The 27063-nt window shown below is 35.7% G+C and overlaps 1 protein-coding gene across 2 annotated transcripts in view, besides 1 other annotated feature; it reads left to right on the forward strand.

The window, feature by feature from the left end:
* The window catches only part of ZFHX4 (zinc finger homeobox 4), a 186035-nt gene that overhangs the window by 66882 nt on the left and 92090 nt on the right, over positions 1 to 27063 (forward strand). The window lies entirely within an intron of this gene.
* Positions 16306 to 17249: an enhancer, noted in NCBI's record as "OCT4-NANOG hESC enhancer chr8:77676670-77677613 (GRCh37/hg19 assembly coordinates)". NCBI's record gives its function as "activates a minimal SCP1, AML or CMV promoter by ChIP-STARR-seq in primed H9 embryonic stem cells {active_cell/tissue: H9 hESC(primed)}" and the evidence as "EXISTENCE:reporter gene assay evidence [ECO:0000049][PMID:30033119]".

Raw genomic sequence — 27063 nt, forward strand, 5'->3', positions numbered from 1 at the left:
TGTTTTACCTAACTTCTCTCTTGAATTCTACATCCCCCATTTTCATATGGATGACTCATAAGATCTTTATCCCTCTCTGTCTGTGTGTCTCATATCTGTAAGTCTCACTGATGTTCTGCTCTTTAGCTTCTTCATGGATCATCCAGCTACTCCTACTGACTTCTAGCAGAACATCTTCTCTCCGATTTGCTGAGCCTTCCACCTGGCATTTTTGTTCTTAACCAATCAATTGCCAAACTTTATAATTTTGTATTTAATATCTTTTCTTAATTATGCCTTTTAAAAAGTTTTTATATTATTGTTTTATTTGTATTTGTAGTTTTTTTGTTGACAAGATCTCGCTGTCCTCAGGCCAGAGTGCAGTGGCACGATCACAACTGACTGTAGCCTCCAAGTCCTGGACTCAAGCGATCCTCCCACCTCAGCCTCCTGAGTAGCTGGGGGTACAGGCACACATCACCATAACCTGGCTAGTTTTTAAATTTTCTGTAGAGATGAGGTCTCACTATGTTGCCCAGGTTGGCCTCAAACTCCTGGCCTCAAGTGATCCTCCTGCCTCGGCCTCTCAAAGCGTGTCTTTTCTTTAAAAACAAAAAAATTGTTACCTCACACTTACACCACTATAACAGCCTCCAAACTAGCCTTTCCACTTACTGCACCTTTTCTTTCCTGCCTGCTATGTACAAGGCTACCATGTTGAACATTTTTATCCACTGTTTTTATTCCTGAAAACATTTTTGCTTAGAAATCCCAGTCGTTCCCCATTTCAACTTATATAAAAGCCAAGTCAATTTATGTGGGTTAGAATTATAACTTATTTATTTATAAAACAATATTACTGTACATCTGTATCATAATTTAAAGTTGGCAAATTGCTATCTTCTGTTACAATCCAGGTGGGGAAAAAACAGTAAAATGAACTAAAATCAGTATTAAAGGAGGACTTTGTCTGGGATGAACTGCTAAATTCCAGCAATCCAAGCTTTCTTTAAAGTTGATACTACATGTATTCACTTCACTTCTGGTGCATGGTGTTCCATGACTATTCAGTTGAGTCCTTCCACCATCTGTATGTGATATGCCATTTTCTGTTACTATTTTCTTCAATTTAATGTAAATTTTTCACAAAGTACTAGTTTGAGGTTTCCTGTCCCAGCTGTCTGACAATAAATTGATCTTTTATATGACTTATCTTCCCTCATCGACTCTTTGTCAATTTCTAGACAAGTAACACTGTTTCATGCAGGACCAAGTAACTTGTCCCAGATCAAGAATTCTTAAGTTTCTTCAGAAGAATAGTATCTATCAATCCTCATAACTTAGGTTCATTTTTCTTGATGAGATGTTCAGAACTTTAGGTAGTATTTGGTATCCAGAACTTTGGTTGTTGCTTGACTAGCTGCCTATTCATTTATAAGAAAGAGAGTGGAAAGTTCATGATTCTTTTTGAATGGGGTAAAACTTCCTGGGCCAGACATTTCTTTAGCCTAGAATTCTAGAACTAAGAACAAAGAGATGCTGGTTTCTAATTTTTACAATGTCTGTAATATAGAAAAATGAAATGAATAAAACACATCATGCTACAAAATTCTTTCTAATTTTTACCCAATACATGTTGTTTATCTTATTCTAGGTGTTTTGAGGATAGAGTAGGATTTATTGAGCGGAGCTAATTGCTAATTCAACACAAATAAAATAATGTAAGATTTTTGCAGTATTTTAAGATCTTTTGATAGACTAATTATATTGCAAAAGGTTGATTGCATTATAAAATTATATATTCTTCCTCTACAGAGTCAGTAGCAAATGCATGCTATTTCAAAGCTATGTTGTATATCTGGAAGCTTGATAATTGCAGTTCATATTTTCTTACCAAACTGATAATGTGAGATTTTTAAAAAATAACCTTCTAAATCCCTATGTTTTGTCCTAGGTTTAAAATTCTATGAGAACCAGACCACACATTCTTTTGTTCTTAGGCTGTGTTGTTTTCAGAGATGCTGACCTGTTAGTGATTAACCAAGATTAGGGTCTTGGATGCTTGTGGTTATCAGAAAGCTTTCCCTGAGGATGTCTCCAGTTCAAGGAGAATTTCACATTTATATCTAGGAGGGATGCCCTAAAATTGTATTGACTGTATATAAAGATTTACATTTGCTTTGTGAATGCTTGATGATGCTGTTGTATAATGACTGAAGTAAAAAATTTGTAAAAAATTTAACACTGAGTGTGCATGGCCTGGACTTAGTTTTGAGATGCTAAACTGTGCTCATTTCACCCTAAATGGAGTAAGAAGTAAATGTAGCTTAGTATATTTACAGTAAAATAAGTCATATATGATCTTACTGTGTCCTCAGAATAACCATACAAGGAAGTAGAATGTGTATTCTTACAAGGTAAAATGTAAAGGTGTGAAAAATGAAAGAAATCCAACTGCTAGCCAGATTTATTCTTTTCTTTCTGCTTCCAAACTGCGTCTTTGTGATATTTTCCACTTTGCTATTTACTAGTCTGTTTCCCAGCTATACTGTAAATTCTGTGAAATATTTCTATTTATCTCATTTTTCCATTACCCATAGTTCTTCAACAAGTTTTTATTAAATATAGCAGTTAACAAGTGAAAAAAATCAGTGGCAGTACTGGGGCTCAAACCCAGGAATGAATCTAAATATACTCCTTTGTTCTCTTTTACTATAACGACTCATCTAAACAATTCTAAACTTCATTTTGAAATTAAAAGATAAGCACCACAAAATAATGCATAAACTTTCAAGAGAACGAATTGATTACTGTATTTGTAAACACATTTTCTCATACCTTAAAAAACGCAGGAGCTGATAAGGACAAAATTAATAAGAAAGATGAAGACAATCTATATTGATTAATAGGAATATTTTCCTGTCTCCCCATATCACCCAGTGTTTTATAGGAAGCTTAAATTTGGAATTTCTTGCATCCTCTATGAAATGTCTCTTGGAAGCCCTTGGAATTCACAGAAGATCAATTCTTCTGACTCACATGGGTTATGGCCACATGTCCCTCTCATCTCTGTTCACTACCAGGTTAAATCTTTCTGTTCATTGCCTCTTGCTGAGAGTGTATCTCAGCCTAACTAATGTCTACATTAATATTTACCAAAGAACTGAATTGTCTAGTTGTTTATATTCTCATGAAAATAAGATGAGGTTTGTGGGTTAGCCTAGCAGTGAATGGAAATTTATTAGGCTTAAAAGCCAGGAAAGAATAGAGACAAATTGTAACCTCCAGTCTCTCCCTCAGGTTTCCACAATAGACATCAGTAATTAATAATGCCACTCAGAATCCTTCTTGACACAGTGGTCTTGGCAACAATTGTTGAATGATCAGAGAGGGCAGGCCAGTTAGAACCTATTTGCCATCTTTATGTCAGTGTCTGATGTAAGTTAAGGTAAACTGTAGCAAAGCTATTTGCTTTCTTTACTTCACTTTTACCAGAATTTTTAGAATGAATTGTGAGGGATACAAGTGGGAAAGAAGATGAGATAAAATAGTAATTTTCCTTCTTTTGTTAGGTAAACACCTTAGCCAGAAATTCATGTTTTTATTTGTAATATGATCTCACTCTCTACATACATCATTCTGGTTAGAATATTGACTTGGAAAAGAAAGTACACAATTTGCTTTGCATCTCTGGGAAACTCTTCTAGCTACGATGATGAGCATCATAAGTACTAATTTCACCAAGAGTGGTGGTTCCAACAGTGAGTATCCTAAGGTGGTCATCAACCGCATGCAAGGATCACTCTTATGCTGAGAGTAGATTATTATTGCTAGAAAGGATAATGCTGAGAGTATATCTCAGCCTAACTAACGTCTATGTTAATATTTACCAGAAAACTTAATTATCTAGTTGTATATATTCCCATGAAAATAAGATGAGGTTTGAGGATGAACCTAACAGTGAATGAAAATTTATTAGGTTTAAGGAAAGGATGTGCAAACTGATTGCAGCTTCCCTGCAATCCTTTACGGGACATCAGAATTCAGTTTATGAAAGTTCTATGAAGTCTAGAGTTTTGATAATGGTATTTCAATGGTGTAATGTTCAATTACCTGCATGAAGGCAAGAGAATGAAAAATATTGGTTCATTCATAAATGTCTAACTATATTTAGTATGGCTCTAAAGTATGTTTTTTAAAAAAAATTAACAGTGACTTAAAAGAGTATTAAAAAAAAAACAACACACATATGGGCCAGGTGCAGTGGCTCACACCTGTAATCCCAGCACTTTGGGAGACCGAGGCAGGCAGATCATTTGAGGTCAGGAGTTCAAGACCAGCCTGGCCAACATGGTGAAACCCTGTCTCTACCAAAAATCCAAAAAAAAAAAAAAAAAAAAAAGAAAAAAGAACTTTAGCTGGGCATGGTGGCACATGCCTGTAATCTCAGCTACTAGGAAAGCTGTGGCAGGAGAATTGCTTGAACCTTGAAGGCAGAGGCTGCAGTGAGCTGAGATCATGCCACTGCACTCCAGCCTGGATGATAAAGTGAGACTCTGTCTCAAAAAACAAAACAAAACAATACAAAAAACAAAAAAACACCCCATGCCCCCCACATTTAGCAGTACATATATATTTTGTCTTTTACTATTTGAGTATATGTGGTTCCAAATAATTTTTACATTCACTGGAATTTTACTTAATTATAGCTGCAAATCTTAGTCAGTGTAATCCAAGAAAGTGAATTCACTATAATAACTTATGTAATTACTTTTTCGTGAATTGTACAATTCCTAAATTGACATAGCTGATCTACCACCATAGTGTGCCACTTGAAAAGGTTCTGGGTTTATTTTTGTTTTTGTGTTGTTTTATGGTGTGTATTTGTACCAGTGCATGCCAATGCATATGTTCATATATGTGCATTCTTTGTAGAGATAGGGTTGCAAATAGGGTCCATCGTTTTCAATAAAAATGATATTAGTATTTCCTTCTGTATTGATTAATAAACTGCTTGTGTATCCATAAGTCAACAACATAGAATAACCATACTCCAGGCTTCTCTAGAATTAAATTGAACCATCAGTTTCCTTTATTGTTTATCTTGGACTCCCAGAAATCAGCCTTTACTGATTTACATTTTGGAATTATATCCCCTACCTATATGGATAAATGACACAAGATGTTGCCTGTGAAATCTCTTAGCCCATTTGCTTCAGTAGTGCTACAGGGCATATATCCAATTAGCAAATTCTGTGTCCCCTGTCTCCATTAGCAATTAATTTATTTTAAAATATATTTATATTGCATAAATAATACTTATTTCAAACAATAAAAGGAAACAAATTAGCCAAAAGAAAAATAAGCTAAACAGCACTAATCAATTCAAAATTCTCTTTGTCTTTTGCTACATCTCTCTGCCCCTGTCTTCTTGCCTCTCTTTCCATCTCTTTTGTTTCTCTGTAGGTCTCTGATTCTTTTCAATTGTTTGTCTGTCACAGTCACTTCATTCGTCTTAGGCCTTTTTTTTTTTTTTTTTTTTTTGGAGACAGGGTCTCACACTGTCACCAAGGCTGGAGTGCAGTGGCTCACTGCTCAAGCTCCATCTCCAAGCTCAAGCTATTCTCTCATCTCAGCCTCCTGAGTAGCTAGGACTAGAGGCATGCAACACCATGCTCAGCTAATTATGATTATTATTACTGTAGAGATGGAGTCTTACTATGTTGCCCAGGCTGGTCTTGAACTTCTGGGCTCAAGTGATCCTCCTGCCTTGGCTTCCCAAAGTTTTGGGATCACCGGCATGAGCCACTGCATCCAGCCAACATTTTTTATATGCAAAAAAATTATTTTATAAGTTGATAGTTAACGCTTTGGAATCATACTGACAGGGTTTTGATTCTTGATTGTGTCTTGGAAAAAGTATTTAACCTCCCCAAGAATCTATTTTTGCACTGGTAGAACGTGATTCTTATAGGTGTTATATACAGTACTTGGCATTTGAGAAATGTGAACAGTTATTCTTAGGAACATATTTGTTTACGTATCTTTACATTCCTGATTATTTACTTGTGATAAATTTCTGGGAAAAGAATTGCTTAGGCCAGGTGCAGTGGCTCATGCCTGTAATCTCAGCACTTTGGGAGGCCAAGAATGGTGGATTGCCTGAGGTTAGGAGTTTGAGACCAGCCTGGCCAACGTGACAAAACCCTGTCTCTACCAAAAAATACAAAAATTAGCCGGGCATGGTGGTGCGCACCTGTAATCCCAGATACGCGGGAGGCTGAGACAGGAGAATCACTTGAGACCAAGAGGTGGTGGTTGTAGTGAGCCCAGATTGCGCCACTGCACTCCAGGCTGGGCAACAGAGCAAGACTCTGTCTCAAAAAAACAAAACAAAAAACAATTGCTTAGTTACACAGCATACATTTTTTGTTTTGTTTTGTTTTTCCTTTTACTTTAGTTTATAGATAATAATTATACCTATTTATAGGATATAGAGCAATATTTTGATACACGTATATGATGTGTGGTGATCAAATCTGAGTAATTAGGATATTTATTACCTCAAACATTTGTCATTTATTTGTGTTGAGAACGTTCAAAATCCTCTCTTCTAGCTTTCTGAACATATGGTCACTTATTGTTAACTATATTTACCCTGCATTGCTATAGAAAGGTAGAATTGATTCCTCCCATCTACTGTAATTTTATATTCATTAACCAACCTCTCCCTTCCTCTTACCCTTCCCAGTGTTTAATAACCATAATTCACTCTCTACTTCAATGAGATCATGTTTCTTTAGCTCCCACATATGAGTGAGAACAGGCATGCATTTTTTAACACTCATTGCCAAATTGCCTTCTGGATAGATAAGGCCTATTTACATAATACCATCAACATTGGAGAATGTCCACATCTGGGCCACCCTGTGGGTTGCCATTCTATTAAATCTTTTCTAATAAGAAATGAATGTATTTATTATTTTTAATTTGTATTTATTTAACTAATAGGTCAAACTTTATATTCTTTAATGAATTGTATGTTCACATACTTTGCACAATTTTTCATTGAGTTATTTGTCTTTTTCTTATTGATGTATTAGAATCTTTATATACTGAGAATACTAGCCCGTTGTTATATATGGTGTAAATATTTTACCCAGTTTCTTTGTTGGTAACTTAATTTAGGGGATCTTTTCAGTGCAGGAATGTTTTAATTATTATGTATACAAATTATTAGTCTCGTGATTTTTGCCTTTTTAGATCTAAATGTTAGGAAATATTTTTTCTTTTCTTGAGAAATGCATATTACTTTCCTCTTTTTGACTATTAGTTAAGTCTTCATTAACAAGTCTTCATTAAGTCTTCTATGGCATCAACCAGGACAAGATGCCATAGGTAATATAAAAGCGCGGCTAAACATTATTATTCTCAGTATATGTTACAAGATGGGCTACATGCATGCTTATTAAAAATTAAATCTAGTGCTTGTGACATTGTATGGATACTGTTTGAAAGGCTGAACATTCTATTAGTAACACCAACAATTACAGAAATTGCTCGATGAAAGCTTGTCAAAATATTACTTTGTGTTGAAATTGTCTGATCTTTTTCATTATTAGTTAGTTGTATTTGCCTTTTTAGTATCACAACAGAGCCTTTGCGACTTCTTTGAGCAAGTATCATTTGTTGCCTTCTAGATAGTCTAGATCTTACAGTGTATGTGGTTAAGCTCAGCATTGCTATAATGATCTCATTTTTTGTATACTGATAATATGAGAGAGGTCATTCTCTTCTCTCTGTCACTGTGACCTCAAAATATCCTCACAGCCCTCACAACCCAGCCATTCTCTAATGTTATTTCCATCAACTTGCTTCGTAGGAGTTCCATGTTATTCTTTGGATTAAGTTAGAACACCAGAAGATGTGTCAAAGTCAAGTCCTTTTGAAGAAATCATCAAAGAAGAATCTTACTTCTTTCGTGCAGATTCATTTAAGTACAGTTGTCTTAGTGCTTGTTGATGGCATTGTCTTTTCAAGGCCATCATGTAGGGACGTCGTCATGTCATTTTTATCTTTCATGTTTTTATTGGCTTGATGAACAGTATAGTCATCCAAGAGAAATTAATTGTTTTGTCCTTCAGTTAAATCAAATGTTTATTTCACATGCTAGTGTAATTTATTTAGTATCTCTCCATTTCCTCCCAACTATTGAATAATTTCACTTTTAAAAAGGTAAACCACTTTCTTTTAGCCTTTGTTCAAGACACATTTTTTTTTAACTAGGTTAAATATCTGATTTCTAGAGCAAGAAACAGAGAGACCAGATTGAGGTTGGGATGGGTGGGTAGAGGCTCATACATTGTAAAAGGAACAATGTGATTTTTGTTGGCTGTTAATGAAATTTCTGATGTTAGATGCCTTATAATATATTTTGTCTAATTTTAGTTCATTTTAGTTTAATACATGCATATACCATCTATTACCATTTTTTTTCAAATGGTCTAATTGCCAACTTTTCTCAATCATTTCGTCAAAGCTATCACAATTGCCCTCTTGTCAACTACAAGATTAGAATCTATGTTACTATAAATGTCTGTCTTTTCCCTTTTCCCAGTGTCTTACCTTTTTCTAGGCAGCAAAGGTCCAAATTTACGCTAAACTATAGCAACTATAAAGGTCCTTATTGCATGCATATTTCTGATTTTTTCTCTTTTTCATCCCATGATGTGTTTCCTTGCATCCTTTATTAAAAGAAGCAGGGTATAAATTGCCAAATTTTTAAAAAAGGTTATTGTGTCTATTATATATCCCCAAATTAATATCATATTTTCCTCTGCATTTACTTAATTGATCACAGCTTGGCTTATTTTTCCAATAGCAGTGAAAGAATTTACCATGATATAGCCATATTTAATCAATACACACGCAGCCGACTCTTATCTCAGGAATTTGAATAGTTGTCAAGCAGGGGTTTCCAGGCAGTAATTTCTCTCTCCTGAAAACTTTATTAAGTGACACTAGACACAAGAGGCACGAGGTTGGGCACAAATGATATGACATACACAACATGTCTGTTCTAACTGGGCTCGCAGTCTAAAGTGGAAGCCAGACAAAAAGAATTGCAATATAGTGTGACAAGAGCTATGATAGAGGTATACAAAATTAATATGGGATGGAAATGGCAGTGGCGCCCGAGAACAGAGTTAGTAAATGTGCAGAAGTGAGAACATGGAGGTAAAAAGGGACTTGTGCCTAGTTGATTGAGGCTAGTAACACATTGTTTGAGAGGACCAGTCTCTAAAAATTTTGTAGCTCCACCACAAAAGATCTTCCATGCCCAGTGAGGGGCTTTATTCTGAGTGTGATGGTCAACCACTGGAGACTTTTAAGATGAAGTTGGGAGTGCTATTGTTAAACTCCAGGGCTCTTTGACTTGCCCATGGGCATGGAAGGTTTATGCCCAGGTCTGTTCCATTCTACTCTCATGGTCTCCCACACCCCAACCGCTCTCCCTTGGTTGCAAATGAGGAGGAAAGTGCAGAGAGAAAAGTGTTTTAAGTTCCTGTAAATAACTGAGAAGAGCTTGAGTTAGAACACAGTCCTCCTGATTTACAAAATAGGCACCATGCCTATGTCTCTTGCTCAGAATAGGCAGGGTAGGAGGAGCCCAGGAGAGAAGGAAGATTAAAGATGAGCGTGGGAGTAGAATGCTGAAGTGCACAATGAAGGGAGTCTTAGTGCGTAGCAAGAGGCTCCTCCACATACGGCAGCCCTGAGCCAGCAGGTGATGGTGGACCAGGGATGTCCCTAGTGGTCCTCAGAGGTCAGGTCCTTTTAGATTCTGAGCGCAGATACCTTCATTCATGAGGTTTATTATCATTGTTAAGGCACATAGTTTGTCTATAGAACACTGTTCGTTCATTTCCAGCAAATATATTGAGCTCTTAATATGTGCCAGGAACTGTCTTAAGTCCTGAGGATACCAAGGAAGGAACACAGTCTCTTCATTCATGGGGCTCTGATAGAAGAAATGGGCATGAAAACAAGTAAATGATGGCACAATATGGTAAGTGGAGAAACAGGTATGAAAAATGCTTTCTGGGAGCATAGAGGACAGAGAATGTTACTGAGCACTGGAAGGGACTCAAGTAAGACAACTTTCAATTGTAGCTCTGAAAGGTACATGAAAAATTACCAAGGAGGATAGGGAAGATACCTCAAAATAAAGAAACATGCGTAAATGCATAAGTGATTTATAAACAATAAAAAAAGACAATGAGATTTTTACTGGGTCTTAATATCAAGCATAAGAACAGGTATTTTCCTCTCAGCCATGATTGGGTTTTTGGGCAAATGTTATCATAAAAGAGTTTTTTTGTTTGTTTGTTTGTTTGTTTTTTTTGAGACAATGTCTTACTTTGTCACCCAGGCTGGAGTGCAGTAGCACGATCTCAGCTCACTGCAGCCTCGACCTCCCAGGCTTTAGCAATCCTCCAGCCTCAGCCTCCCAAGTAGCTGGGACTACAGGTCTGTGCCACAATGGCTGGCTAATTTTTGTATTTTTTGTAGAGATGGGGTTTTGCTATGTTGCCTAGGCTGGTCTCGAATCCAGGGTTCAAGCGATTCACTTGCCTTGGCCCCCCAAAGTGCTGGGATTAGAAGTGTGAGCCACTGTGCCCAGTCATAAGAGAGTTTTATTATTTTTATGACTCCTGAGCTTGAAAACAGAGTCTAGTGAGAGGTCTGTGGCACCTTCATTGGTTGTTCCCTGTTAAACAACTGTTTTCCCCAGTCTTGAGGCATTCAGGCTTATATGTGAAATACATCTGGGAATGTATTTTGAAAATAAATAGAAAAATCAGTTTTCAGTGATACAATACTGGTATGTGGATTAAATATTTTCCACAAAATAAAATCATTTCCAAAATGACTTCAAGAAAGATTTTCTTTACATACATATTTACATTTTGAAAATAAAATGTCCAATTTTGGTGAAAAATGTAAAACTCACTGCTCAAACCTTAAACCTTAAAAATCATTATCCTTTTTGTTCATTTGATTTTATGCTTCCATAGATGTTATTCCTATATATTTCAGCCAAATTATATATTAGAAAGAAATGTTAAACTAGGTAACACATGATTTTATAAAGTAAAGGTGATAAAAAAAATCTATTCCCCCGTTTGCTATTTTACTTAATTTGCTCTTGGTCTTAATCATTACTCATTTTGGTTACCACTTACCTGGGTAGTTTATTAAGTGTAATTCCTCCCGGGTGGGATAGGCTGACTCTCAGCTTTTCACTCTCTTGGCATCAATAGCATAGTGATCTATGTTGTCATGCTAGTGAGGTCTTGGTGATGAACCATTAAATAAAATGATCTGCCCCCAGGCCAGGGAGTTGGTTGATTGCCAAACAGTAATCCAGTACAATTAACTATCAAAGATTTGAGCACTCCATTATTCTAGGAGATGGAACTGCAGCCATCTGGAAGAGCAGAAATGGTGATTGATCATCTGGCTAAGTTTAGGTTTGGAAATACATTTAAATGATTAGATTTATTATTATAACATTAGATATTTTAACCTTTAGTCATTTGAGTTTTAATTTTTTGAATTTTATTCAATTTCAAGATGGAAATAAAAAATAACTTGTTTAATATTTACCAAGAGTAGAAATGTTTAATTTGTGATTTATACATCATATCCTTGGTGGAATGAAGTGGGATGTAAATAAATAAAATAAATACTCTCCATGAGAGGGTTTGAAAATATCATACAGTATTAAGACAGGTAAATGATCTAAGTGATCAACTCTTTATTTTTTAAGACATGTTGCTTTAAGCTTATGTTGTTATTTTTAGTTACAGAAACCATAGATATGGTCATTCAGTGCCTTTAAAATATTATTTTGGCAATTTAAGCAATCACCCAGTCCACTAATAAGAATCTAAAGATCCCATAATTTTTTTAGGCTGTGTTCAAGAATACACATGAAGTTCATTAGATAAGAAAAAATTACATTCTCATGGTGATTATTTTTTATTATTTCTCCTAAGACCTTTTCTTGTTTTCCTTTGATTTCTAAGGATGTACCTACCATTCCACACAATAAATAGGTACATATACTTGGAGGTCAGTATCTTGGCATCCCACCATCTCACTCCATGAAACAATATGGCATGTGGATTGCGGCCTTTGAGCAGACACAAATTGTTTTATTCATTCCTTTATTAATATGTCTTTACTATTGAGCATCTACAATGTGCTAAGGACAAGTTTGGCACTGAAGATACAGGGTCGAACAGACAGACTTACTTGCTTTCATGGAGGTACAGTTTGAGAGTAGAGACAAATACTTAAAATCACAAAATCACATACAGTATCTGATTAAAATTATGATACGTCCTGTGAAAGAGGCATGCATTATGGAGCTGTGAAGGTGTGTAATGGAAGAGTTTAATCTCCTACTCTGAGGAGATAGGGAAAGCTTTTCTGACTCACAAGAAGTGTGGGGAGTGAAAAGTTAGTCTGAGGCCAGGTGGGGTGGCTCACACCTGTAATCCCAGTACTATGGGAGGCCAGGGCCAGAGGATCACATGAGTCCAGGAGTTCCAGACCAGCCTGGGCAACATAAGGAGATCTCTTCTCTACAAAAAAATTAAAAAATTAGCTGGGCATAGTGGCACATGCCTTCATCCCAGCTACTTGGGAAGCTGAAGTGGGAGAGTCTGCTCGAGCCAAAGCGATTGAGGCTGCAGTGAGCAGTGATCAGGCGGCTGCACTCCAGCCTGGGCAACAGGGCAAGACCCTGCCTCAAAAAAAAAAAAAAAAAAAAAAGAGAAAAAAAAGTTAGCCTGGCTCTCTATTGAGAGCCAGTTAGTTACTAAACACATTTCTTAGGTGGGGTTCACGTCCACCAGACAGCTATAATGTGTGAGAGTCCATCACAAGGGAAAAGTGTCCTGTATCCCAATTTCAGTTAACCCATTCTGCATTCAAATTAAGTGATTAAACTTGTTTATATTCATTAGACCTATAACCAAACACTGTTTTATACATAAAGTATTTTTTAACACAGTTTTGATATATGCTAAAATTTTCAGGAATGCAACTATCAGGTACATCAAGAGAAGATGCTGTTTTTGTTTGGTAGTTTAGTAAGAGTTAATTACCACTTTGAAAAATTATATCACCAATAGGTAGCCTCCTCATGAAATGTGAGTTGCCCATGCAATACACTTGAAACTGTGTTTATTTATCCTTGTAAATTCATGGCAATGCTACATGTGGGTGCAAGCTTATGGCTGCTTCATTACATGTAGTGGCCATGCCTCAGCTTTTCCAAAGTGAAATAAACTTATATATTATATTTTACATTTCTTTTCTTTTACTTCTCCTTTATTACAGTTAGGTTATTATATTGATTTATATACATTCTATGTGTAAATAGATAATGTTATATATTATTTTACTTCAGTATAGTAAGGGAGGAATGTAAAAAGAGATCCTTGGACCTCATAGAGATGAAAACCATTTGTTAAACAATACATGTGTTTTAAAATAGAAGGAAAAGTATTTAATAGTCAAGCTGAAAAATTATTTGATTTTCTAATCTTGGGATGTTTTACAGAGAAGACCTCTTGATTTTCAAAATAAATGAGGTTTAGAAGCAAATGTCTCCACTTTGACTGCTTTCTGGCCTGATGTTTAGGGCAATCTCTTTGCCTCTGTACATAGAGAAATGCAGAAGGAAGCATGTTACAATAGGATCACTTGAGAATACTTGCATTGGGTTGTCTTGTTTGGGCTGCTTAGTACTACTATCACTGGGTTGAATACTCTAAAAATTGAAAGGTCATTTGGAGAAAAATTACTAACAAATAAAATCAAGATTTTTAGAATGCTTTCTTGGAGTGGGTCTACTCCTCTGGAGGACAGCCAGTAGTTCAATGAAAACAGATTGAGTTGCTTTACAAGAGAGTGTTTTGTTCTAATAGATACCATCATGAATGAGTAAGACACCATCCCCACTAGTGCTACAAAGAAAGTATGACTAGTTTCTGGTCCAGGACACCCAATTATATTCTAGGGATTTATAGATATAGCCTCTTGGAGATTATAGGAAGTATGAAGTCAGGAGAAAAGAAAAAGGTATAGAGTACAGTAATTATTTCTCTATTAGGCATAAGAACTTCTAGCAACAACATAAATAGTGAAGAATACATGTAATAGTACAGGAAGTCAGATTTATAAAAAGAAGTTAATATCTCCCTGACATTCATATTGACTTTTAGTGAAAATCAAATGAGATAGTATGTGAACAATATTTTGTAAGTTCTAAGTTTAAAGTGATTGTTTTCTGCAATATTTAAAAATGTATAATACTAGAATTAGGATATGCTAGTAGGAATTCATCATGTGAAAGCCAGGAAATCTGAAATATGCCATAAAAGCAAATGAATATGTTTTCCTAAAGTGTGCTACCCCAAATTTTTTAAAATTACCAATTATTACACTACTCGTCACAGTTCAAATAAATATACACAGAGCTAATTTATGTTTACAACTCCTGAGTTCATCTTTGTGTTATCTTTTCCTAGAGAAAAGATACAGTCAATCTTATAGATGCCAATCTGTAGTCATCTTTTATACTATGCCTAAAACATATTGTAATCATCGTATTGACTCTCTCAATAGGTAACAGTTTTAGGTCTTCCAGTTCTCCAATAGAATTAAAGCAATTGCCACTTGCCAAATAAGGTCTTGATAATAATGAACATAAAGAGGAAGATACTTGAGAAGCAAAGAGATATTATTCTTTCTCTAGAAATACCAACACACTAAGATCTGTCCTTGACACTTTACTGCTTTGAGGTGCTGGATCGAAGAGTTTCTCAGGATTCCCCTTTCAATATCTTTGTCATCTTTATTAAATCTCATTCTTCTCATTTTTATCCCCTCACGGCATCCAGATGTTGAGGAAGAGACACCATTGTCATTGTTTTCTCTTTCTTCTATGCCACCGTCCCATAACAGGGCCTCAGCTTTGCTACTTTTAATATAGCCATCCAGTTGTCACTCCACTCTATTCTCATCCTGCCGTACTTGGGCTGTTCCCGTCTGATAGCTCCAGGTTTCCAAAGCCTGAGACTCTTCAGCGATAAGGACCTTAGATGAAAAAGCAGGATGTGTTTAGAATCATTAGCAGTGGAAGGATAAGATTAAGAAAGTGATTACAGTGGCTCATGCCTGTAATCCCAGCACTTTGGGAGGCTGAGGTGAGTAGATCACTTGAGCCTAGGAGTTGGAGATCAGGCTGGGCAATGTGGTAAAACCCTGTCTCTACAAAAAATACAAAAATTAGCTGGGCATGATGGCATGGACCTGTGGTCCCAGCTACTCAGGTGGCTGAGGTGGGAGGATCACTTGAGACAAGGAAGTTGAGGCTGCAGTGAGCCGTGATGGCCCCACTGCACTCCAGCCTGGGTGACAGAGTGAGACCCTGTCTCCAAAACAAACAAACAAACAGAAAAACAAGTGATGTATTATTATATATGATAATGGTTGTAAATAAGCCTTTTTCTAGGGAAAATCATAAATATTACAGTTGATTGTTGAGGAAAAAAGTAAAAAGAAAAAATGTGCTATAGGCGTAGGAAATATTAACTAGAAAAACATATAAGCTGCTTAAAATGTATATCCAATTACAGCTGATACTAGTAATAATAATGCATGTTGTAGATTCTCTAGTTTAAAAGTTACCATAAGTGCAATCCACCATTTAAAGATATACATCATTGGATATGGATCACATTAATTCTGATGTTTTTATTACAGCAGCTAAACTTTATATTCATATGTTCATAATCTTTATCATTTATTTTTCTCATCACATGGTTTGGTCTCAACAACATCAACAAAATGGAGGGAATATTGGAGCATTTAGACTGCAACAGGGGTCCTCTCTTAGCATTGGTCATCTCCTATATAAAAAGAATTTGGGATTACATATCTTCAAAAGACTATACAAAGAACTATGAAAATAATACAAACTTGATTTAAATACTGTAAGCAGTTTCTCAAAGGAAATTGCCAATACAATTGAGATTAATTTGTCTGGAGAGATGACTAATTGAGATTACTTTGTCTGGAGAGGTAAATAATAAACCATAAAAATTATACCTTAAGATACTACTTAAGTTACTTAGTAACTTTTTTCAAGAATCTGAGAGATTTGTTTGTTTGTGTTTATTTATGCTAGTCAGTTCTCTAGTTTCACGGACCAGCTGAGTTTACAGAGAAATTATAGAGAGATCATTTTCACCTTGAGATCTCAACTGTAACTGGATGATTAAACATTGGTACATGCTTACCAAGGAAAGCCATGAAATCTCCATCCTTGTGGGTTATTGAAAACAATGGTCTTGATAGATTTAAGCAAAGCATTGATCTAATTAGAATCTTGAGTATAAAAGAGATGTTATTTTCAGATTTATTTTATTACTCATTTCTATTCAAATATGGAGACAAGGATCACTTCAAAAGGACCAGTACATTTCAAAAGTGTCCAATTCCGTACATTTTCACTCCAGCTGGTTTTCTGTAAATTTGCTCCGACCTCTGACTGTTAGTTTCACGTTGCCATTCTTTGTTTAACTTCATATTACTATTGTGTAACTTTTGCGGTTATATTATTAAAGCAAAAGTCATTTCTTCCATGCTGTAGGTTAAGCAGTGCCTCCCTATTGTTCCAACTTTCTGGGATTCTTCACAGTAGGTTCCAGACCTAGGTTAATTAACAACTCTGTTAACACCTCCTTGAGCTCAAGTGGTTCAAATACAACCTGCTGAGACATTATTTCTTAAAAGGTGAGGACTAATGACCCAACTTTCAGGCACCATCTCAGAGGCCAGTTTTCAATCTCGTAAAAATTTTAAGTCAAGGAAGCTCAACATAGAAAGTCATGAGCTGTCATAAAATACCATTCCGGATATAGTTGTTTGGAACTGCCTGGGCACTTGGTAACCTAAAATACAAGTTAATAGTAATTCCACCTCATTTAGTTGTGTTAAAGGTGCTTGAGAATTATGCTTAATAGACCATAAAAATTATACCTTGAGACACTACTTAAATGCAATAATAAATCCTTGTGCAAAGTTCTACCAGAAAGCACGATTTTAAAAAATCATCGTAAATGTTAACTATACCTATTTTTCTTTATGAAAAGTATGAAGACTATTGATTATATAAAATTTTAGATATGCTGAAATTCTTAGAATGAATTAATTACAGAGGCTATAGCTTGGTTTATGCCTCTTTTTTTCTGGTAAATATTAAATGTAGCTTTACTCAAATATTAATGTTATACATGTAGGTTAATATATATTGAATGAAATAAATTTATTTCCCCAATAAATGGCCTTAGGATATAATCCCAGCAGAAATCACTTCTAAGTGGTATGGAACCAAAATTGGGTGGCAGTTTGAAATATAACAATGATGTCACTGTTCCTATATTATGACTCCATTTTCATTAGGTTAAAGGAATTAAAACGTCAGAAAATAAACTGTCACAAAAAGGGGAACAGAACAGATTATTTCCTGTCTATTGCATTGCCAGGCACAGTACCGTTAGGTATGGCACACTTGTTAATATTATTTTATTTAACCTTCAAAACAACCCCATGAGGCAGTTACTACAAGTCTTAATAAAAAAGAAAAGATGATGAAATTGAGGCCCAGCAGTTAGATGTTTCATTCAAGACCATACTGCCATTAATTAAGGAAGAAGCATCCAAAACTTAGTCTATCCCACTTCAAAAATCCATGCTTTCATCTTCATCACAGGAGATGTATGATATGACCATACTTAAAGACAGAGCTAAGAGAAACCAGGAAAACCTTTCTAATGTATCTAATATCCTTCGGTGATAGAAGGAATGGCTACAACATAAGGAGTGTTAAGTATTATACATAAATAGGGGAACTTTGAAAAATGATTATACATAATAATAGTACCACCACATTTTTAAGAAATCTTGTTGAACAAGTGCTTGAAAAAAAAGATAAAAAATTGATCATTTAGGCCAACTGATGTCAAAAATTTTATATAGGTAATTGGGCTTTCTGTTGCAAAATATGCTCTAATGTCTTAATGTCTCTCTCTAGCAAATAGGGTTTTCTTCCATTTTAATATGATTTGCTGGTAGGTGGTTGCTGAGAGCCTAATCAAACCAACACATTTGTGTGGCCATTAAGAACTATTCAAAAGTAACTGCAATTTTGATATTTAAAACGATCTGTTCCATGACACAAAAGCATGGTTTTAATTTTTATCTCACATGTAACTTAAATATATGAATATTATTTCTTTAAAAAATATCCAATTTCAGTTATTGCCTGAAAAGCAAAAACACTATTATTTTTGTGGCCTTGGGCTGCATGGGCTGTGGGTAGTATTGAATGCCTATATTATTGGTTAATAACAAATATCTCATGAGATTTGCAGACCTTACAAGCATCTATAGGTTTAAAATAATAATAGAAAATTTAATTTATTTTTCCTTTTTACATAGAGTGGAGGCTAGCAGGTAAAATAATACACAGGAGAATATTTTGAGAGCAATTAATTTAAATATTGATTTATATAATATTATAATTTTTAAAAGTACTTTTTGAATGTACAAATGGTATTGTTATTACTTTTCAATTACTATTTAAATAATTTATTATCTCAAGAAAATGGAACCTGTGCTTTTTCAAGAGACAGTCTGCAACATTCTATTAGCCAGCACAGTTTTTGGCCAATGTCAGTTGTTTAATTAATGTAGTTTTTTTCCCTAACACTCAGTTACTCAATCAAAACCTGAGGAAACACAGCCTCTTAAGAGAATCAGAATTTGTTTCTTCCTTTGTCTGTCTCATAAAGGGGTGTGTGTGTGTGTGTGTGTGTGTGTGTGTATGTGTGCATGTGTGTATGTGAGACAACGTGACACTGCGTGACATGAACATACAAATTAGAATGGCCTAAGCTTGCATTCCAGCTTTATTACTAAATAAGTGGCAGAAATGTGTTAATTTTACAGAGACTCAGTTTTCTTAACAGTAAAATAGAGATTGAGATAGGTGGTATAAAAGCGCTTTAAACCACCTTGCATTTATTCAATGAGATTTGGTTTCACTCCTTCCATTTTCTTGCTTCTTGTGTTAATGATGTGTAAACATTGCTGGGTTGGGACAGATTATTTAGGTGAGCTCTTTTGTTTTGCTCAGTTTTGCCCTAATAAATCGGAGACACAGCTTGGGAACTCCTGGTAGGTCTTTTTCTCCCACCTCTTCTGTGTTCTTGTTATCCCAGCACATGTTAAAATTGCTGTATGTGGGTATTGAAGTCATCTTAGAGACCTACCACACATATATTGAAGATAGGAAGGGAACCAAAAGTTATTAGATACCTGCACGTAGCAGTTTATATTATACTGCTTCACTTAATCTGATAAAAAATATATGACAGGTTGTATTAACCACATTTTAAAAAAGAAATTAAGCCTTCAAAGAATTAAGTAACTTCCAAAAGTCAAGTATCTGGTGAAGGGTAGAGGAAAAGTTAAACTTTGGGCTCTCAACAAAACTTTGTTCCTCCTAAATATAGTATGTTTCCTGTCATTAAAGGAGAACTGCTTTTCTAAATGTAAGCACATGGGTGGTTATTGAACATGTTCTCTGGATATGGGATTTTTATGAAGATGGGTTTGACATTGGTCCTGTATTGGACCCATTATTGGAATAAATAATGCATGTGTATAAATAACTGTAACACAAAAATAGAATATGTTAATCAGCATAAAGGGATTCAGATAAGGTATTTTTTGTTTGTTTTAAAGGAGGACAAGGATACCTCTGGTTGTAACAATTGAGGAGTCTTTTTGTTGAGGTGACATTTGGATTGGGCTTTAAAATGGGTAAAATTGGGGTATGTACACATAAAACATTGACAAGGGTAGAAAGAGGGAAGATTGTGAACGAAGGCATGTAAATAATGGAGTAAGTTATAGACATTTAAAAAATGGTGAGTGATTCAGTTTTTCTGGCACATAGAGAGCAAACAATGAAATGATCAAGAAAGGAATGTGAGATTTTAAATAACCTGTAAAGGGTTTGGGAAATTCTTGGTAGGCATTGGGGTACCACTGATGGATTTTAATTGCAGGAGTGGCATAATATGATTAGGAATGCCATTAATGGTAATAAATGTAATAATGCAGGTCATGATGCCAAGTGCTCACTTTGTGATTATACTCAAGCTGGCCATTGAGGAGATGGAGGTAGTAGTTCCAGGAAGAAGTAAATAGGAGATAGTGAAAGTAGGGGGAAAGAGAAAGATGAGGGCAACATTAGAATAAGCAAACACTTAACAACTAATTAGATGCCTGGAGCAGGGAAGAGAAATAAATCTGAGGGGGCACCCATGTGTCTGTCTTGTATCATCAACAGTAATGTGAAGGCACAGAGGAGCAGATGCAGGACTAAAAGGACGGATGATGAACTCATTATAGACTTGGAGGTTTGAAGAAAAGAAGGAGGCCCCAGAAGGAGATAATTTGGGGTTGTTAGACATGCAGTATAGGTTTGGAGAGAAAGGTCATTGTTAGGAATCTTAATTTATGAGTGATCTGCATCCAGGATATTAACTAAACAAAGAGAGAAAATGAAATAATAGAAGGGGGCTTGATATCAAAAGATGAGGCGAGCACAAGTGAAACCCCTATTTTATGTATCAAGATAAGAAAAAGAGATGGCAAACAAAACAGAAGCAACTACAAAGATAAGAAAGTTGAGCTAGGTGTGGTGGTGCATGCTTGTAGTCCCAGCTACTTGGGAGGCTGAGGCAGGAGGATTGCTTGAGCCCAGGAGTTCAAGACTGCAGTGAGCTATGATTGTGCCACTGCACTCCAGCCTGGGAAACAGAGTAAGACCCTGTCTCAATAAAATAAAATAAAGTAGAGGGCTTTTTACTGAAGCTAAAAGAAGGGATTTCAAGAAAGTAGGAGTCAGCAATGTCAAATATTGCAGGGGGACTCTGACAAATGGATGACATGAATGATCTTTCCATATGTGAGAAACAAATCTATTTTCAGGTTCGTGACATCATCTCAGTGTGCTTTGCATATTTTTTTCTATTACTTTAGAATTTGATAAGTTTTAAATTGTTTTCTCTTTCTTTCTTTTCTTTCTTTCTTTCTTCTTTTTTTTTAAGACAGGGTCTTGCTCTGTTGCCCAGGCTGGAGTGCAGTGCCCTGATCACCATTCACTATGGCCTTGACCTCCCAGGCTTAAGCGATCCTCCTACTTCAGCCTCACCAGTAGCTAGGACTACAGGCAATGAGTCACTATGCCTGGCTAATTTTTGTATTTTTTGTAGATACAGGAGTTTGCCATATTAGCCCAGGCTGGTCTTGAATTCCTGGGCTCAAGCCATCTGCCTGCCTCAGCCTCCCAAAGTGCTAGGATCATAGGCGTGAGCCATGTCACACAGCCTAGAATTTGATAAGTTTTCTATTGGGACAATTTCACTTGGCTCTATTTGTGGAGTCAAAGGGTCACTTGATTTCATTCACTTTGCAAATTATGATGTGTATCAGTGTCTACTGACGATAAGTGCATAGAGCAAAGATCTCAAAAATTAATATTTAAATAAAAAAACTGAATATTTTACATAAATTACATTTTTTCCTGCCATATTATTTGGTATTCTATGACTACTACTGTTTGTTCAAAGTACTTCTTAGCAGGATACTCATTTGTGGAATGAAAACTAGGGTCAGAAACTGTGGGAGCTGCTGCCTCCTGCTACTGTCTCCTGCTACTGTCTCAGCTCTGTGAGTTGGTGCCTGGCTTCCGCAAAACTGAGTCTGGAGAGGCAAAATAAAGACCAGGATTCCACCAGGCAAATGGGAATTTCTAGCTTTTTGTAACTCTTTTCAAAGTTTTTCTGGACCTGAGGTGACACAGGTTCTGTTAAAAATATCATTGTTATAACACAAATAAATCTTGCTATAAGTGATAACAAATTCTATCTAGACATCCCACAGGCATCTCAAATTCAGTATGTCTAAAGCATATAGCACATCCTTTTCCCCCAACGTGTCCTTTATATTGCATCTCCCATCTCTGTCAATGGTAGCATCCTTCATTTGCTTGCTAAAGCTAGAAATCAGAGTTATTTTTAATCTTCTTCCTATTGCTCTCCACTATATTCAATCAATTAGGCAAGAAATTCTATCAAATATGATGTCCTGATTAACTCTTCATGCTGTTGAGTACTTCTGATCTATTGCCTGCCAGTAGTTGTACCTCTTCACTATTATTCTTCCTAACCACATTTATTGAGCATATAGCTATATGCTGGACATTATTTAGGAATTGGAGATAAAATAATGAACAATAAAGAATCAGTCCATGCACTCAGGAAGCCTCCAGTCTGGGAGAGAATGCAATCACCTATCAATTAATTGTGCTAATATTTGATTAGTGATGGGATAAGCATTCCAAAGAAAACACACAAAGTACAACAAGGAAAAAAATGTCATATTTCTAAAGAAAAAGGAAAGACTCCTAAGTGGAAAAACTTTGATTTTGAGGAGAAATAGGAGTAAGACAGGTGAAGGGGGGAAGGTAAATTGTCAAGGCTGAGGGAATTCTGGAAGCTGTATACTCAGAATGAACCTTACACTTGGAAGATCTAAAATCAGGATAGTTGGAGTAAAGACAGCAAGTGAGGAAGATGAATGAACTAAAGTTAGAATTGGGTTGAAGCCATCATCATGCAGGGCCCTTAGGTATAAGGATTCCATTCTTAAACTTCAAAATGGAAATATTTTGAAAGTGAAGGGGTGATGGTTGTTAAACTGGAAGTGTGCTGGAAAAGCCTAGCCATATGGTCATTCTATTTAGAGTCATGTTAAGAATTTTAGGGTTTGTTCTAAGAGAAAAGGAATGCTATTGAAGAGTGTTAAGTAGAGATGTGCCTTTATCAGGTTGGCATACTCAAATAGCATCTTTCTCCACCACATCTGCTTTCCCTTTCTAATTTTACCTGCTTCATTTCTCTTCACAGCCCTTATACTACCTGAAATTATGTACTTATTTATTTGAGTGTTATATTTCTTCCCTTCATGGATTTAGGCTGTGAAGGCAGAGACTTTGTTATATTCACTGCTGCAATTCCAGCACCTAGAACAGTGCACAACATATAGCAGATGCTCTCTGAATTGTTAAATTCATGAATCAGTTTTCTTCTCTTTTTTTTCTGTTTTTGCTTTTTTGTTTTGTTTTGTTTTGAAGAGATAAGATCTTACTCTGTTGCCCAGGCTAGAGTGCAGTGGCATAGTCATAGCTTACTGCAGCCTCCAACTCTTGGACTCAAGCCATTCTCCTGTCTCAGACTCCCGAGTAGTTGGGACTACAGGCGCCTGCCACCATGCCTGGCTAATTTATTTAATTTTTTGAAGAGATGGGTTCTCACTTTCTTGTCCAGGCTGGACTCAAACTCCTGATTTCAAGGTCCCAAAATACTGGGATTCAGGCGTGAGCCACTGTACCCAAACAGATTGCTTTTCAAGACACTGTGGTTATTGTCCGAATTGATTAGAATGAATGAGAGCTTGTGGCAAGAGATGGTGGCAAAATGTAGAGATGTTGATAGATTGGGAAATAATCAGAAGGCATATTTAGGACTTTGCGATAATTTAGATGTAGATAGTAGGGAAGAGAAAGCATCAAAGATGACTTCCAAATTTCTGGAATGAGCCTCTGGGTGAATCTGAGGTGCCACTACCTGAAAGACCTGAGGAAGGAATATGGTATAATGGTTAGAAGCATAGGGGTTTGCCTGACTTCATCTTTCACTGACACTGTGACCTTGGGCAAGCTGCTAATTTCTGTGTGTCTCTGTTTCCTTATCCCTAAAATGGAAGGTAAGATTAGTATCTCCTTTGTCGGCCATATTGTGGAGATTTAATAAAAGAACGTTATGGAAGGCATTTAGAACAGTGCCTAGTACGTAAAAAGCACTCAGTAAAAGTTAATTACTGTGGGAAAGCGTGGAGGATGAGTAAAAAGGGAGGGAAATCAGTTGTGTTTTTTATTTGTTGAATTTTGGTTGCCTTGAGAGATTTCTGAGTGGATATGCTAAGATAGCTTTTATAGTAGATGAACTCAGATCTCAGAAAGGAAACCTGGGTAAGTAATAGAAATTTGAGAGTTGTCTATTTATGAATACTTGACCTCGTTAATGGTAGTTAGAACTAAATTCTGGTGGACACAAACATAATTAATAGTGGGTAAGGAAGACTGAGTAAGAGGGTTAAGAGAGTTATGGCTAAAGCCAGGGACTAAGAGGAGGGACATAGGTGAGCTGTATTTATGACTCCCAGGAGTCATATTTTGACTGTATTTTGACTCCCAGGAAGGCAAGGGCCATACTACCAGACTACTCTTCAATCTAGGCAGCACGACATGGCCAGAGTGGTGTTTCTGAACTAGGAAGGTTAATCTTATCTCAGCCCCACCTAACATATTTTGGTGACTTCCCACATCATTCTGTTTCGAGTTCAATATTAGCCTGCTATTCAATGTACTTCATCCTCTCCAGCCTTTTCCTTTAGTGCATTAGACACTGTGCACTGCTCTTGCCACACTTGCTCTTGCCTGTAGATGATATACTTGCTATTCCATCTGCCTTGACTGCCGCTCTACCTGTTGTCCATGACAAAAACCTGCCAAACCAAGTTCTAGTTTACTTCTTTGGGAAAGTGGTACCCAGAGGTGCCTTTTCTCTATCCCATGAAATCTATTTCACTACAGGAAAAACCTCGTTGTATGAGGTTATATTTGTTTATTTTGTTTCCTAACTTATTTCTTTAGGCCACGAGCACCCTGAGAGAAGGCTTTGCGTCATCTGGATCTTCAATGTCTTGCCCAATACTTGCCATAGTGTGCACACTAATTGTTTGTGAAATCGAGGAAGGATTTAAGAAAAAGCAGTGGATCCTGCTACCTTCTCAAACTCCATATGACTATTTCTTATTCATTCAGATGATCTAGAAAAAATTTAATATAGAAGGACCCAGGTTCAGAACATACTATATTCAGACTATAGTCAGATATATTCATAATACATTCAGATAAATGGAGATGAGCAGAATTGATCCATAGAGTTATTGGAGGATTTAAAATGTTGCAGAATCATTGTATACATCTTTAAATAATATCTTTTTAATATAATCTTCATTACCAAGTTTGTTCAGTGTTAAGTTTAAGATTCAGATATCATGTATATATTTGTTCAAGTTGATTTAATTTTTAAGTGCTTATTTTATTCTAGCGCTTTGACAGGTGGTTTGGAAGTGAAAAACAGAGTCCCCATCCTCCTGATATCTGTTTGGGTGATACAAAAGACGTGTAAACAAGATAAACCACAAAGATAGTAGAATGGGCCCTTCAAATTCCCTAATTGTTAAATCCTGGAAGATGGATTTCACTTTAATATTTGCTTTTTAAATGATCTATGTAAAGATATGACTTCACTACTCTAGAAAACTTGGACTTTCTTAAATCAATTGAGTAGTTACATTTGATTATCTAATTTATTTCATCTATGCTTTTATATTTATATCTTTTACTGTGGATTAGAAATGGCATTGAGAACTTTTATTGAGGACCAGAGTAAAATTGTATGCCCTCTTTCTCAGAATGCATCATTTTAAGTTTAATAAGCAGAATAGTATAATGACAAAAAATGATGTTTTTACCTGTGAGAAGACACGACAGAATCAGCTATTCTGTGAAACTAAGAATTCTGTCCTCCTTTCCAAAGTGGCCCACTTTTGGACCAGACTGAATAAAAGCACTGGTTGTTTTAGCTTTCCCTGGAGCAGACTCTAGTCCAAATTCTGGACCCCCATCCAAGTTCTGGACTCCAAATCCTGTAAGTTGCTCATCAGAGAATCATCAGATAATGATGAGGCATTATCATTATAATGTTGAGTGCCCCTTGTGGCATTCAGGGCTTTGTCTGAAGTGGCATTTATTTGGTGGTAAGACGTTTGTGATTGTTACTCATGGCAGTTGTCTATGAGATTACTAGAAAAAAAATTGAAGTGATATCATATGCTCATCAGGAAGAAATGAGTGTGGTAATTGGCTTTGCCCAGGTTTGTGAATCTTTTTCCATCCATTTCATTCAGATTTAAAAATAGACGTTCTTAAATTCAAAGACTCATTCTGGCCATACTGGTAGATAGAAATACATCTGTATTGATTCAGGTTTACTCTAATTTAGATGTTTTCTGATTTTTGAGACAATTATTCAACTTCATTCTTGCTTATAAATCTTAACTAAGTTGTTTTGCTTTTGTTATTTTTCCATGAAATGGAAAAATGAGAAATGATGTAAAAACCTAAAGGAGATATACAAAATATCTACCAAAAAGGAGATACTTCAAAGCAAATTATCTAAACATAGTATATTTTCTCATAAAAATTAGAATTGAAATTTATGATTTTTAAAAAAGAATATAATTTTCCTGACTTTACATACATAATTAAATATGTATAACACATATTCAGGTCTGTACAGTATTTTAGAAATTTGAAAAATTTAATAAGATATTGATTTTTAAAGATTTTTAGTGCTTAATATACTTGGTCCAAATAGCAATGACTTTATTTTAGGGATAGATGAAACATTAACAAATTACCTAAAACTTTTGCGTTTTTACACCTTTCATTTTTACTTCTACAAAATATCAGTAATAGTGGCAGCTAATTTTATCTGGAAACAATAAGAATATTTGCCTGACTTGGGAGATATTAGGCATAAATTGAATGTTTCCAGCTAAAATTATATGTCATTGGGTAAAGTAAATAATTTAAAAATTGATTAGTATTTCATAAAAGGCAAGGTCACAGGCTGTGAAAATATGAAAAAGTATGTTGAATAGATAATGATGAGAAAAATGTGAAGACAGTTATATTTAAATGCAAAGATCCATGGAAGAAATCAGCTGCTTGATAAC

The sequence above is a fragment of the Homo sapiens genome, chromosome 8 (assembly GCF_000001405.40).
Source record: "Homo sapiens chromosome 8, GRCh38.p14 Primary Assembly".
NCBI lineage: Eukaryota > Metazoa > Chordata > Mammalia > Primates > Hominidae > Homo > Homo sapiens.